This window comes from Homo sapiens, chromosome 18 (genome assembly GCF_000001405.40).
Source record: "Homo sapiens chromosome 18, GRCh38.p14 Primary Assembly".
NCBI lineage: Eukaryota > Metazoa > Chordata > Mammalia > Primates > Hominidae > Homo > Homo sapiens.
The window spans coordinates 30,132,744-30,149,319 of NC_000018.10; positions in this window are offsets into that span (position 1 = coordinate 30,132,744).

The following is a 16,576-nucleotide window of genomic DNA, read 5'->3' on the forward strand; positions in this document are numbered from 1 at the left end:
ATTGCCCCATTCAGGAAAATCTTCCAAGCATTACTTAATTCTAGCTTTTTATTGAGTGAGCTAATTTTCAACTCTATAAGTTGTAGGTCTCTAATAGACCTGTAAATTACATCTTGCATAGTAGAGGTTCAACACGCTTCCCTTGCACTCTGTATTAAGACCAGTTTTGCCACCCTTTATGTATTTCTTTCAACATTCCTGATCTATAAATGTGCCTGCTTATACCATCCCCTTTGAACCAGTTATAACATGTGTATGGTAACCACATTAAATGAGGAGATTATTAAAATGTGTTTATTTTAAATCTGCAAAAAAAAGAATCATGACATCATCAAATATAAATGAATTCATATTTTTGTTTTCAATCCACATACAATCATATTTTCTTGCCTTACTGCCTTTTTCCCAAACTTAGAGCATTCATTATTTCATCACAATTATAATGTGACTCATACATCTTTCATGGAGTCCTCTTACTCAGTTGAGAAATCCCTTTGTATTTCTAATTTGTCAAATTTTTTAAACATGAATAGAAACTGGGTCTTTTATATATACCTATTGGGGTGATCACAGGATCTTTCTCTTATCGTCTCTTAATACAGTAAATTGCAACAGTGGACTTTTGAACATTGAACCAACCTCACATTCTAGGAATGAACACCAATCAGTTAGTGTGTGTTACTTCTATTACATATTGATGGATTTACCATCAGAAAATTCTGTGAGGAATTATTTGTATTTGTGAAAGTGTTCTGCAATTTTCTTTCCTCATAATATTCTTGTCATGTTTTTTTGTATTAGGTTATGCTTTCCACATGAAGCAAGCTTGTAAGTTCTTCCTTGCATTAAGTAACTTAAACCTTTCACAAATTATTTTATAGCAGGTTAGTTTTTACCTTCTAATTCGAAGTGGGGACTGAAGAGGGCTTAATTAATAAGTTTAAGGCAAAGAATAATTGTAGCACGTCTGTAGTTTTTTAACCAAAAAAGCTTACTCTTCCGATGTAAAACGTGATTCCAAAAAGTCTTGGCTATATAGTCTACCTATTTTACTGGTACCATCATGTCCCTAGTTTGAACAAGTTGTATTACTCTATCACATTGAAAACACACATTTGTTTCAAGTATATGTGTAGATGAGGAAGAGCAAAGGAGTCTCTCTGACAGATATATGGATGTTGGGAGAGAGAAGCCCTCTTCTTCCAATGACTGGGAAGTTAAAAAACTATGAAGTAGTGACTGCAGGTATAATAGCAATCTTGCCTAAAATGCAAAAGTGTCTTTCTTTGAAGATTAAAGCCCAGCATCTCAAGTCGATTCAGATAGGAAGAGAGGCAGAGACAGAGAGAAAGAGGGGGAGAGAGGGGTGGAGTTGGGGAGGGAAGGAGGGGGGGAGAGAGAGAGAGAGAATGATTGAGAAAGAGAGAGAGAAAAAAAAAAACTCAGAATAAAGTGGAGTAACCATACATGCTGGTTTGCCAGGGAGTTTTACCCTTGTTGTGTAAAAATTCATGCTTTTAAAATTAATTTTAGAAATTGTCTCTTACTCTGAAACATGTCTTAATAATGGATTATATGTTCACTCTTCCTAAAAATATTGTTTGCGTTCCTAGGGTCTGGCTATACTGTAAGCCAAATATAACCTAGATTTTCCAATTATATAGAATATTACTTCTCCATTCTTGCTTAAGGTAGATCAATTGGATTTCTGTCACTTGTAAACATATTAATCCTGAATATGGCTAAAATCTGGCAGAATTGGGATTTATGCCTTTATTTGCTTAACTCTGGGGTCAATGATTTTTACCTTATTCCATCTATTAAAACAAAAGTGTCAAAGTATTATTTTTTTTCGGATTTCCTGGCTTTTTAACTTGATAAACCTAAGACATTTTCATAATTGCACAAATGTTATCCAGAGTATAAGTTTTTGATACATATGTTTAATTGTAATTAAATTTTCTATTATTGAGTGCTTTTAATGTTTTTTTATTTTCTACCAATAGAAATATAATTCAGAACTAAATTTGAAAGTAGTGGCATTTTTGGTTTTCCCTGAGTGGCCCATAAAGTTATAATTTGAGTGCTAGAATAAAACTTCGATATCACTGGGCTGGGTTTTTTGTTTTTTTTTTTTTTTTTTTACATATTGGGGTAAAAAATTGTCTTATTTATCTTGAACTTTACATATTTTGCCCACAATTTTTCTTGGGATTTGATCAAGTTTTACTTTGTTTTCTTTTATTTCTGTGTGAAATTGTAATGCCACATGTATATGTTATCTTCACAAATATTTGTCATCTATTCCGCTCCCTATCATCTGTCTTCTTCTTGTAGATCTTATCATTTTTTCATATACTCTTTACATGAAAATGAAACTACTTTAATGTATTCTCTTTTGTTTTCTAAAAAAACAAACACATTACAGTATCAAAATTAGAATATCAGATGTAATATTTTATTTTTATTTATTTATTTATTTTTGAGTTGGAATCTCTGTCACTAAGGCTGGAGTCCAGTGACATGGTCTTGGCACACCACAACCTCCGCCTCCTGTGTTCAAGCAATTCTCCTGTCTTAGACTCCCAAGTAGCTGGGATTACAGATGTGTGCCACCATGCCCAGCTAATTTATGCATTTTTAGCAGAGGTAGGGCTTCACCATGTTGGCCAGACTGGTCTTGAACTTCCGGCCTCAAGTGATCTGCCCACCTCAGCCTCCCAAAGTGCTGGGAGTACAGGTGTGAGCCACTGCATCCAGCCCCAGATGTAATATTTTTAAATAAATATTTTAGCTACAGGTTCAAAAGTAATGTCTCAATTTATAAAACACAATTAAATATACTTTCCATTGATATTCAAATTTGAATTTTGAAATTCAAATTTGTGATTTACCAATTTCTGGCCCCAAAGCATTGTTTTTTTTTTCTTCTCTAACCCTTAATATCAGCCTTTGTCATAATGTTGATATTGTTTTTCTTTTCTTCCTAACCAGAAAAAATAATGATCACCTATCTGAGAACAACAAACAAAATACCGTACACATTAGCACAGACAATAATGCTGGTATTGATGTTAATGGTAAACGGGTATCCAGGTTCTCGGCATCTTGAACAAAGAATTGGACAAAATGCACAAACAAAGCAAGGAAAGAATGAAGAGATTTATTGAAAATGAAAGCACACTCCAAAGTGGGAGTGGGCCTGAGCATAATGGCTAAAAGGACCCGTTACACAATTTTGGGAGTTTAAACACCTCCTAGAGGATCCTTTTGTTACTTGGGGTACACCTTATATAAAAGGAGAGGGTGAAGTAAAGTTACAAAGTCATTTACTTGGTCTGTGCCCTATGGAGAGGATATTTCCTGTCATAGCTGAAGTGTGAATCAGCCTTATGTTGCCTGCCTCCAGGCCCTATTTTCCTGCCTCATCTCCCCCCGAGAAATGTGATCCCCGTAAATCTTTATGGGAGGCAGAGAAATCAATGGTCTTTTTTCTGTAACTGCTTCATGCTGGCTTGGGGCATAGTCCCTACCTATTGGGGATCACAGAACTCCCTGTTCTGTCTAGTGGAGGCAGGGTAGTTTCTTGACGGCCAGGAGTGGTGTCTTCACCTGGGAACTGGTTGAAATTCAAATTTGTGATTTGTTTGAGCCTTTGTTGCATAATTATCTGAAGCTTGATGGTCTCTAGGCCAGAGGAAACGAATTTGGTTAAAAGATTTAATGGGAATTTCAGGGGGTGGACACCTATGCTGTACCTATGTTGTGAGAAATGTTTGTTATAGAGATTTGCAGCAGAAAAAAACAAAACCTACTCTGTTCTAGAATCTGTGTGTTTCCTTAAAGTCTTAGCATGAGATACTCCATTTCGGTTTGGTATAGTTTGTTGGGGCCTAGTGCATAAGCCTAGTCCAAAACAATGGCCTCCCATAATTTTGTTTAAAAAAATTCCTCCTCTTTGGTCAGGCTCTCACTTAGGTGACAGTGTAAACAAAACTTAGGGCCTTAGTGCCACTCTCAGTTACCATCATTTTGGGTTTCCAGTCTCAGCAGGTCATTTATAGGTTACAATGTCCTCATGGTTGCACATTTATTTCAGCTCCTGTTATTCCAGTTGGAGAGAGACCATACGACATTCTAGAGATGGCTGCATGCAAGCATTTAAAACCTTTGAGAGAATACAGTACACCAGGGAGACTGTTATTATTACTACTGGGGGATAATACCAAGAGTTCAGAATATGCCCTTTACTTAAGGTCCCCACAAACCAAACCTCCTAAAATCAAACAGATCAAAAAATGGGCTAAAGAGTTTACTCACTTAATTAAGCAATGTCTTTGTTAATCTCCTACCACTGAATTTCTATAATCTTCATTTGATGTATTTCTCTATAGGCCACAAGTGCTTCTCTGTTTAGCCAACTCGATTATAACTTTCACAAGATAATTTAGTCTATTGTGTAACTGTAGGCTTTACTGTATAATTTGCTATATACATTTCTAATCATTGCTTCTTTTACTTTAAACCATGGAAAAAGGACATAACAAATAATGCCCTTTTAAAAGAATGAAGGCCTTCTGGCAGTGTTCTCTTTGGTCCATGATGTGGGTTAAGAAGAGTGAACCAATGTTTTGTTTCGACTGATTATGAGGTAACACATGTACCATTAAAGTTTCTTACCTACATTGGGCCTTCATCTTTTATCTATCAAAGTATAAGGTTGTCCATGTATAAGGTTTGCTGCAAACTCCTACACAAATAAAATTACACCCCATTAGTGCACATAACAGACCCTTTTCCACTTCTATTGTTCATAGAGGCATAAGTGAGAAAAAACTTTCAAAGATAAGAGTTTCATGACAGTAAAAATCTTAATCTGCGAACTGGAGAAAAGCTGTTCACATCAAGGATGCCACCTTCTTCTTGGGAGAAATTTCCCTAGTTAGCTTTACCTCAAGGGTTCCAATGGGTGCACAGTTCCAAAAGCGTGGAGGGACCCTTCTCAGTTGCGAGACCATGAACCCAAAGCCCAAAGTCCTGAAGTTTCGTTTTAGTGGGGATGGCAAGGACAGTCTTTCTCTGATGTTTCCAGAAGATTCAAACCATAAAAAGCTTTATTTACCTGGTGAAAATACACTGTAGCATAATAATCTACTGCTATAACATCAACTCTTTTGCATGGGAAAGCTTTTATACAACCAGAAAACATGCACTGAAAATAACAATGGAATGAAATCCCTTTATAAAATGTTTAAATGGCCCACCAGGTGACCAAATGTACCTGAAGCTTTGTTTTTCCAGAAATATGGGATCAAGCATTGCTTATAAACTATTTTAAAAAATTTCAGCATTAGCTTGTTTAACATGAAAGTATTTTCTTGATATTTAATTCAATTTTTCTGTTTTACTTGGGTTAGTAGCTTTATACAAGGAAATTTGGTTATTTCTGTAGTTTACAATAACTTAACATAATAACTATAATTGTGATTGGTAGCATGTACTTAGACATTAGAATTTTAGAAATCTCATACTACTTTGGAATATATATTAGTATTATTCACAAAATATAACCTAAAGAAGATTGAACATCATTTTGGCAATCCCATGTACCCAAATGTGGCAAATAATTCTGTTTACCTCTTTTCTGAATGTTTTCAGTAAAACATCTATCCAGAAAGCCAGGCATTAGGAAAGACAGTTTTGAAACTGAAGCTTGATTTTGGAATTTCAGATTATTATATATTATTTATTTTACCAAAATGATGACTCAGAAATTGTAAAGCAGCAAAAACCTTTTATAATCTTTAAAAAAATTAAAAAAACACATTCTACTGTTTTTACACACCTTGCATGTAAAACTGTTTCCAATAGTCTTAATTGCATGTTACAATGGTGACTCTTAGCAATTTTAACTTTAATGTAAAACCTGGTAAGTTATGTTCTGATAGTTTGACTGTTTCCAGCATAGTTAGGGCATGGCCAACTCCACATGTCCCCAGGCCTTACCTAGCTGGAAGGCAGGCAAGTTAAACAATTTTTAAAATCCAAAGAAGCAGTTTATGACCTTAAAGCATTTAGCAAACCTAATATTTGAACATAATTTAGACCACATGTTTACATTTTGAAGACATTGTATTTTACCAATAATCTTTAAAGCTGTTTTATTTCCCAAAGATTGCTAAAGTCACATGAACTAAAATGCATTACACTTTCTACTTTTCTGACAAAATATTTGATTATCCAGTTTACACAGAGAGAAAGAGGCCAGAGACTGACTAGCAGGAAATTGTTATCCTTTTGCTGGCATGCCAGGTTTCTGGGTTCCCTCTCCCTGAGCGGCTCTGGCAACCCTGCTAGACTGTATGCAAACAGACACATCGCCATAAATTAAGAATATTCATACATAGTGTACAAATTTTGGAGAAACTAAGCAGGGAGAGAAATATGACTTAAATTCTATTTGTAAGAGTATACTCCACACACTTAAAGTATCAGGCAGCCTAAAAGCCAAAAAGTTAGTTTAAGGATGAAAAGTTCGTGTGCTACATAAATTCCTGTAGCCTCACAAAGGTAGCTTAGAAATTCCACATAAATGGAACGAATAATGACTCGCTAGAAATGCATAGGAAATAAAATAACTATTCACAGAACAAAATAAAATCCTTCCATTAGAAACTAAAAAGCATCATGGCTATATATATATATATATATATATGCATACACAAGCAAAGCCAGAAGAGAATAAACAGCAAATGAATGAAAACTAGAAACAAAAACAAACATGAAATCAACCCTACATTTTCCTACTCAATTTACCCTAGAGCCTACAGTGTTATCTAAGCCCCTAAAAAGCACATATATTGAATATTTTATTCGTGATACACAATTCAATATCCTTAAGTTCACCATTATCATTGTAAATTCTGTGCAATCAAGAAATTCACCTTAGGCATGTGACCAATAACTACTTTAGCACTATCCACACAAAACAGTAAACATACAATGAAGATAAGGGTTTAAGCCCTGGTCACCTGCTGCATTCTGAGTCACCCCTGGTCACCTGCTCCCTCCTGAGTCACCCCTGGTCACCTGCTTTGACCTGAGTCACCTTTAGTCCATAATGGTCTTTCCCACTGAAACTGCTCACCCTGCGACTCTGGATTGTACCCCTGCTCTCTTTAAAATAGCCAACGAAATTAGCTTAGACTGTGCCATCCAACCCTAGCCAACAGGGGAACGACACAGCAGTAGGGGCCACCTGTGTCAGGAATAAAAACCCCTTCCCGTCCCTTGTTCAAGTGTGCTCTTGCCATTGTTCCATCTGTGAGACACACCCTTCTTTAGAAGTAAAATTGCCTTGCTGAGAAAATTCATGTTCAAGTGCTATTTCTTTTGTGGCATTGAAAATTTATTTCCAACATAGATATGAGCATTTACAGGTAAGAATAATTCCACAATTTTAGAACTATTTCCCCTATCATAACCCTTTCTTAATTGGAAATGACCGAGATATTGAGTATCAAAAATAACTTTAAGATTTTAATTTACAAGAAAGTTTACCTAAAATGTTTATCCCATTCACTGTACTTAATTTTTTACTTTTAGCAAGGGAGGCATGAGACATCAATCAACATGTGTAAAACAAACATTGGTTTGGTCCGGAAAGGCAGGACAACTTGAGGCGAGGAGGGGGCTTGGAAGCTTTCAGATTACAGGGGGGAGACAAACAGTTGCATTCCTTTGAGTTTCTGACTAGCCTTTCTTCAAAGGAAGCAGTTGGATATGCGTTTATCTCACTGAGATTTTGAATAGAATGGGAGGCAGGCTCCCCAGAAGCAGCTCCCAGCCCGAATTAACACTGACATTTTAAAATATCTAGCAAAGACAAACATAAAATTCAGACAAAATGTATGCTGACAATTCTGAAGGCCTTTCTATTTTTGTTCCACAAATAATTTTAAAGATAGCTTGTTTAGTAAAGTTATATTTAGGTCACATGGCCTTGAAAATTGCTTAGTCTTATTTGCTTAATTTATGAGTGCTCTTTTACTTATAAGCCAATTTGGTAGACAAAACATATAACAATAAGTGTACATACAAATAAACACATTTAGACATATATACACACACATAAATGAAGATCTGACAGCTTGGAATCTTAGCCATAAGATAGCAATATAAGCTTGCCATTTTTACTTTACCCTAATACATAATCCAAGGAAGGCTGCGAACCAAAATTTTGGCTAAAGCAGTCTCCAAGGCAGTTTGATTTTATTTTTTTTTTTTTTTCAGATGGAGTCTCGCTCTGTCACCTGGGATCAAGTGCAGTGGCGTGTTCTTGGCTCACTGCAACCTCTGCCTCCTGGGTTCCAGCAATTCTCCTGCCTCAGCCTGACAAGTAGCTTGGACTACAGGTGTGCACCACCATGCCCTGCTAATTTTTGTATTTTTAGTAGAGATGGGGTTTCACCATATTGTTCAGGCTGGTCTGGAATTCCTGACCTCGTGATCTACCTGCCTCAGCCTCCCAAAGTGCTGGGATTACAGGCATGAGCCACCATGCCCGGCTGACAGTTTGATTTTTAAAGGCTAAATCTCCCCAGACTCCAAGGAGCACTGGGACGAAACAGTTGTTATAAATTAAGTTCTGATGCCGCAAAAGAAATAGCACTTGAATATAAAATTTTCTTTTTAATTCTCAGCAAGGCAATATACTTCTGTAGAAGGGTACAACCTTACAGATGGAGCAATGGTGAGCACAAACTTGGACAATGGAAGGGAAGGGGGTCTTATCCCTGATGCATGTGGCCCCTGCTGCTGTGTCATTTCCTTATTGGCTAAGGTTAGACCGCACAGGCTAAACTAATTCTGACTGGGTAATTTAAAGCGAGTGATGGGGTGAGTCGTTTGGTGGGAAAAATGGTTATGGCAGAGCAGGAAATCAGAATGAGTCAGGGTGGAGAATGAGCAGGTAATTGGAATGAGTCGGAGTGGAGCAGGTAATCGGAATGAGTCAGGGTGCAGCAGGTAATTGGAATGAGTCAGGGTGGAGCAGGTAATTGAAAAAGGTTGCTTTATGAGGAAGTCAAGTTTAAAAGTAGAAGGCAAAGAATTGAACATACTGACATATTGATTCTTTGAAGAGAAATTTAGAACTCATACCTAACACAGTACCAAAGGAGGGCACCACACATTAACCAGGCCCCCTGCTTACAACAGCAGCACAAAAGCCTGGAGACATGCAACACCATCCCACTATCCCAACACGCAGTAAACTTCAGATTCTAAACAATTTTAGGGTCAAGCAGCATTGAAACTGTGAGATAAACTTCTAAGGAGACCTCAGAACCTCTGCCAAGCACGAACCCTTTGTGCAGGTTGAGGTCTGCAGGACCCACAGAGCATCCTCCTGTGGGGTCCAATCTTAGAGTTTCAGATGTCTCTGACCTTACTTAGGTGGGAACCAGTGCCACTTTGCATGCATTCCCACCAGAACCTGCTATGAGCTTTCCTTCAGTACCTGGGTGTAATCCTCGATTTTTAGCATCCTTATAATTTGATAAGGCCATGCTTTCCCATGCTTCCCATTCCATGAACTTTAATGATAGGAACTGGAGGCTGGGTGGGTTTCCTCTGACTTGGCCGGTTGAATAGGGGAAGGGAAGAATTTAGCATGAGAAAAGAAGGTTTAAGTCTCCTGAAACATGTGCAATTTGCTTCAAGCTGTGCCACATGTAGGGATCAGGGACCACACGTGGAAAAGATAAAAAAAAAAAGTCTTTCCCACTTTAGGGCAAGGCAAATATTCCCATTCATTTCTAGGCCTTCAGGCAGTACTAGGGAGTCACCCCAGCCAACTGCCCTCAATTTCCAAGGAGCTACGAGGAAACAGCCTCTGAAAGACTGAAAAAGAAAGAAAGAAAAAAAATTTGGAAAAGACCTGGGTTCCTAAAGTGAACTGGGTGGTAGTGGTCAGGCTTCTCCACATGGAAACTCCTCAGTTTCACTAGCCATGGCCAGAATCCTGCAGTTGCTTCCATGTTTAGGTGCTGCCCACCAAGCGTCCCAGGTTGGAAAGGAAAAGAGCTTTCCTGTATGGAGAAGAAAGGAAAAAGAGAAAGGAGAAGAATAAATTCCAAACTTTGGGCTTACATCTTCCCCCTGGCTGGCTCACCAAAATATGCTAACGATAGAAGGGTGTCCAGTTCTTGAACAAAAAAATTGGACAAAACAGACAAACAAAGAAAGGAAGGAATGCAGGGATTTACTGAAAATGAAAGTACACTCCACAGTGTGGGAGCGGGCCCAAGCATAGGCGCTCAAAGGCCCCGTTAACAGAATTTTGGGGAGTGAAAAACCCCCTAGAGGATTACACTGGGGTACACTGTATGTAAAAGGAGAGGATGAAGTGAAATTACAAGGTCATTTACTTGGCCTACGCCTCATGGACCTCTCCATATTTCCTGTTATAGCTGAAGTGTGGAATCAGCCTTATGTTTCCTGCCTCCAGATCCTATTTTCCTGCCTCATTGGGAAAACATATCTTCAAAAACAACTCGATTTGGTGAGGGAAAAAATGTGTTTATAATTCAGTTAAATTATGGTGCCATCTATATGGGACTAGAGCCCAATTAGAGCTTGATAAGAAATTAGAGGGTTTTGGTATTACCAATTATTCTATGTGATAACAATGTTCGAAAATTTTTCAATGTAATTTCAGAGGCATCTAGGGAATATCTGTCATGAGTTGATCTTCTTTTTAATAAAATACTCACAACTCCTGGATTCTTTATTAGGCTTCCCAAATCATTTGCTTTTTGCTTCTTATTTTAGCTATGGAACTCATTATTCAGAGACCCAAAGCCTCCTTGTGCTCTGGACTATTTGTGTTCAAGCTCCACAAATTCTTATGCCTTAAATAAGTCCATGGCCCTTATTTTTCAGTCAGAATAGACACTGTATGTAAAGAAATAAAAACATACCAGCATCTTCATGCCTTTTTGATGCATAATTAAAGCAAAGCAATCTTAAATTAAAAAATCAAGCTACCACACTTTCAATCTGCACTTTAATATTGGGATAGAAATTCCAATTCTGCCCTTACTTTTGAATCAAATAAAGGGCCCCTGTTTTTGACTCCATATAAACATGTTTTTGACACCTTTCATTGCACTGTGATTGTCTATAATTTATTATCCAGGCCAGTTATTTTGCTATCATTACCATGGGTTTCAATTAAGCCAGGTGCTTAAGAACATACAAATTTAATGTGTTATTTCAGTGAATGCAACACTAGACTGTAAAGATGACAAAGAACTCCTGAGCCCAAATTATCCAAGCTTTAGGTAATGTTTTCTGTATTAATAGAGCAGCTCTTGCAGCAATAATTTATTCTGAATAGTGTAATAAAAGGTAGCTGGCATCATCAACTAGCAAGTTATTATGAATTTGAAGAGAGTTTTGAAACCTCAAGCTGGAGAGCAACCGCAATTTCATTAAAATAAGGCATTGAATCAAAGATGTTCCCATCACAAGTACATTGATACAACAGAATAAAACATTGTGCTATTTCTTCCTATTAGTTCCATGATGAATTGCAAAACTGATATAACATATTTCTAGAAACTGGGAACATGTATATCACATATGATTTAACCAAATAGACAATGTGTATTGTTAAAAAGCTTTGTTTTGACTTTGAAACAAAATCATTTAGACCAAAAATATACTATATATACAGTATGCAGTGTGACATATTTGTATTCATAAATAATGATCTGTATTAGGACTGTTATCCAAAAAATATCTATGTCCTAGCACATAGTGGTTGGCTGAACAATTATGAGTCTTGTAAAATAATTCAGAGCTTATGTTTTAAAATAGCACACTGAACACATGAATGACTTCTCACTTCCTAAAACCCAACTGAAACTATACTATTTGGATACAAATAAAAAGGTGGAAATCCTCGATGACAAGAAAATGAGAAAAGAGATAGCAACAACATTTGAAAGCTGGAAGAAAGTTGGGTAAATATTGCCTGAAATAGTAAATCTAAGAGAGATGAAGTTGAAGGCACCAAAGACTCTAAAAATTTGATCTTGAGATGAAATCCTTGAAAGGCTCAGGAATTGGTAGCCATGGGAAACCTTTAATGTGGAGGGGGAGGGGTACTGAAAGTAGGGAGATTCAGATTTCTTTTCTCAGTCATCTCAGGTAGGAATGCTTATCTTCTGAAATAGGAGTGAGAGTTCATTCTGGAGAAAGTTAATCAGAGTGACTGACAGTGCTGCAGGGACATCTGAAGATTTTGGTTGTGCTACAAAGTGTATCTCCCTCGTACACTTTCTTGGGAGACTACTGGAGGTTGTCTTTTGCCAACATAAAAAGTAAACAAAGTAATAGAACACATAGGACATAAGTGAAAGATTCTCCCAGGGGCCTGAAGGCTTGAAGGGATGAGTAACTCCTCCCTTCTCAGGCCCAGTCCCAAGGCACAAGGCCACTTGTGCCAGCAGCGTGCGTCAGCAAGATAGCAGAAACAGGAAGAGAGCTGGCCAAAAGACACCTACCCTGGCCAGAAGATACCTACCCTGGCCGGAAGACACCTACCCTGGCCAGAAAACACCTACCCTGCCCTGAAGACACGTACCCCTGAAAATCGAGAAAGAGGCCATCCGGATACTAACGGTAGCAGTCACGTCAGACTGGGACACTTCCTGTTTACAGAGGACTATAAAACCCCTGCCCCATCCTCATTTGGGGCTGACGCCATTTTAGGCTTCAGCGCGTCTGCACCCAGGCGCTCAATAAAACAGGGTGTTCCTCCACACCACCTAATGTTGTCTGTTGGCACGTTCTCCGGGTTCGAACAAATACAAGAACCTTTCAATAAGAAACAAAAAATTCACCACAGAAGATAGAAAAGGGACATTCCAGGTTGATGTGAAAATGAAATGCTGTAATGGCATTTGTTCATTAACCCTAATGAGGGAAGCCATTTTCTACAGGAGCATGAAGAGAGGGTCTCTAGGAGAGAATTCCCCAGGTGTAGGTGTTTGAGTACCTTGAGAGAAGGATTATGCGCCTAGCAGAAAATTGTGTGATAATTAATCAAAGGCACATGGATAACTAAACACAACAGAAATGCGCATTAATCATTAATTTCAAGGAAAAAAATGTTGCACAAGAAAGAAAATGAAAATTTATATAGCGAAGCTTAGCTGCAACTTATATTTTTAGCCATGATAGTGTAAAGAATTGTATTAATACTTGTTTTCTATTGCCATATAACAAATTATCACGAAACTTAGCATCTTAAAGACATACAAATGTATGATTTATGTTATTGTTGTCAGGATTCATTTCCTTGTGATTGTATGACGGAGAGCCCTGGCTTCTTACTGTCTTTTTTCATCTTCTAGAGGCCACCAGCAGTTCCCTGCCATGTGGTCCTCTCTACTTCCTGTAAAACAATCCTGAGTTCCAGGAAGAAACACACCCAGCTAACACATTGCTTGTTTGCTTCCTCAAGGCCAGAAGGAGTGTTTCTTTCTCCAGTCTGCTAACACAGAGTCTTATATAAGGTAATCAAATCAAGGAGCTCACAACCAATCACCTTTCTTACATTGCTTTGACTAGAAGTAAGTAACAGGTTCCATCCACATTCAAGGGGAGGTGATTTTACATGATGTACCACCAAGGGCCAAACATCTTGGGGACCAACTTAAAATTCTGTTTAACACCATATTAAATATGAATTTTAAAAATAGCTTGAAATGGCAATATTGGAAAATTAGAGGAAAATATAGTACATGGAGGTTTATAAGATCTAATTTTTTTCATATTCCAACAGTTGGTAATATCTAAAACAAAAACAGTTAAAAATATTAGTTTAAGAAAACTAAGAATATGAAAAAATATGTCAGAAGAAAAATATTTAATCTTGTTCTATATTTTGCAAAGAGAAAATTAAATCAGCAATCGAAAAATATAAGTAACATTTCACCTAAAAAACAGAAATGGATTTAAGAGAATAAAGTAGATAACAGAACTACTAAAAGAAAGGTGGATGAGAAAGAAAAAAGTTAACTTAGACTTGGATGTAGAGATTATTGAAATGAAGATAATCATTCCAGGACACATGGCTAGAAGTATCATGTGGGCAACAAGCAGAAAATTGAACGTATGTTTCTAATAGTTTATCTGAGACTATTTCCTCCTATATATATAGGGTTTTCAAGAAATAAAGATCAGATACGATAATTTGTCAGAACACCATACACACTAAGGTAGCAGTAGTTTAAGAGAAATTTGTTAAATCGATTTTTCAAAAATGTATTCATTTAATCAGTATTCAATAAATAACATATGGAAGACTTTTGGACAACCGTGTTATGTAAAATAATATAGTAAAATGGAAAAAATGATGTGAGGGATTAATATTTACCTAAGAAATTTGCATTAGTCACAGACATATCAATGGAAATATTATTGTTAGAAAGTTACATTCAGCCACTTCACCAGCAAAAATACAGAGTAGAATTCTCATGACTACTAATATCCTGTGTGTGTGTACATGTGTGTGTGGATCTTTTGGGAAAGGGGCAAGAAACAGCAACAGGTACATATAAATAGAGAAATATCTCTGGTTTAAAATTTCAACTTATATGTCTCTATATATGAATATGCCATGCAAAAGAGCATTTGCCCCTTAAAAACAGATGGTCCTAAGGGTTTCTTCTGAACATCATTTTGGAGTTTGGTAGCAAACAAGTTAGGACCACAACTGAAATTTTAAGGAGCATCTGGAAATAAAATGAAAGTTAAGCAAAAGGAGAACATAAAGAATGTGAGCTATCCAGTGAATGGAGAGTCCAATAGATGGATTCAGACATTAACAAGCATTTGAAAAATCATAGCCAGAGGCCAACATTCCAAAATGATAGAATGAAGTAATTCCAAAATAATGGAATATTCTCCTTCTAAGAAAGTTTCATTTTATCTTCTATCTAAAGCAAGACAGATACTGTCCCAGCTATTTCACCTTCAATTTTACTTTGCACAGCAAATATATCAATCAGTAGTAAACCCTGACACAAACATGAAATTCTCATGTCTTGTAATCATTCATTTTATGAATAATGAAATCACTTTTAAATCTGCCCATCATGACAGGACAGGAGGGCTAGAGCAGAGGAAAGGGAGAGGAAAAAAGAAATATAGAAATTGAGCTAGAAAGAATATTCATTCTATCCACTAGTATAGTGAGGTTCAAAATTCTAAAAATAACTCATCAAAAATTATAAAATCCTGCACTGATGTCATCAATAATAAGAGATAAGAGAATGGAGCTGAAAATACTGGTTAAAACAAAACAAAACAAACACTGATAAAATTAAAGGGAAAAAATCATTTGGCTTTTCAGGAAAACAAAGCAAGAAAACAGCAACAATAACAATGGCAGTGTGGTTCACTGAGTATGTGCCCAGGGCATGAAAGAGAAGAGCACAATTTCCCTGACAGAGCTGAGATTGTGTTCTGCTTACTTCTGTGGGAATCGGGGGTAGGTGTGCAGCTGTTAAATGATACATGTTATTTACTCTAATACAATTAAATGTTATGGATTAAGACAACATTTCATATCAGCACTAAATATAGATGTTATATAATGGTAAAATGAACTTAAGCAAGTCAAGTATCTGCTCTTGTTTTGCTGTATAAAGAACAATATTTTAATAATAGAAGGATTTGTGAAACTATTTATAATTTATAATTATATGACTTGAAAGTAGCTATTTTCATTTCAAGTTTTACACCTAACTTCCTTTTGTGTCTTTTTTGAACAATCGTACTTCCTCTTAACTTGATGAATTCTAGTTTTCAAGATTGATATAGTCTAAATTGTGACTTTTCAAAATAGAATTAAATTCTATTAAAAAATAACATTAAATATGAAAGTAAAATATAGTTATACACAGGAAAACATTACTGACTAATTCCAAGAGTGTTTTAAAATAAAATAGGACAATCTTAGCTAGCCTGAAAAGATTCAGATGATCATATGCTATGACACGCTGAGTAACATGCTTTCAAACATCACTATCAATCCATCAACAAACTAAAATAAAATTATCCAAATTTCAATATAAGATTTAAGAATATTTAAAGTAACTTTGAAAAGTTGTCAGACTCTGGTAATTTAGCAATTGATTTTATTTGAATAGTTTATAAGAAATAGTATTAAGACTCCCATTATTTTCTGATTCTAAAAACTAAAATCAGAAGTATAACAAAGAGAAGAGCTGAGGATGTTTGTGTGAAAATGGAAGTCAGAAATGGTTCCTTAAGAAAATGATGGAGTATAAAGAATTTGGCCAATTGTGATCCCTCAGCACAGAAGGTCAAAGCTACCTGAAGTTAATTCTGCTTTCTGAAGCACACCAATGTGAAGATGAAGACATGCTGCTCCCAAATGACTTAGGATCAGCAAGTGCTTATTTACTATCTTGTTTAATAAGTGCTTAAGTTTCACTGCAGAACAGGCTTGATATCACCATGATACTATGAACATAAC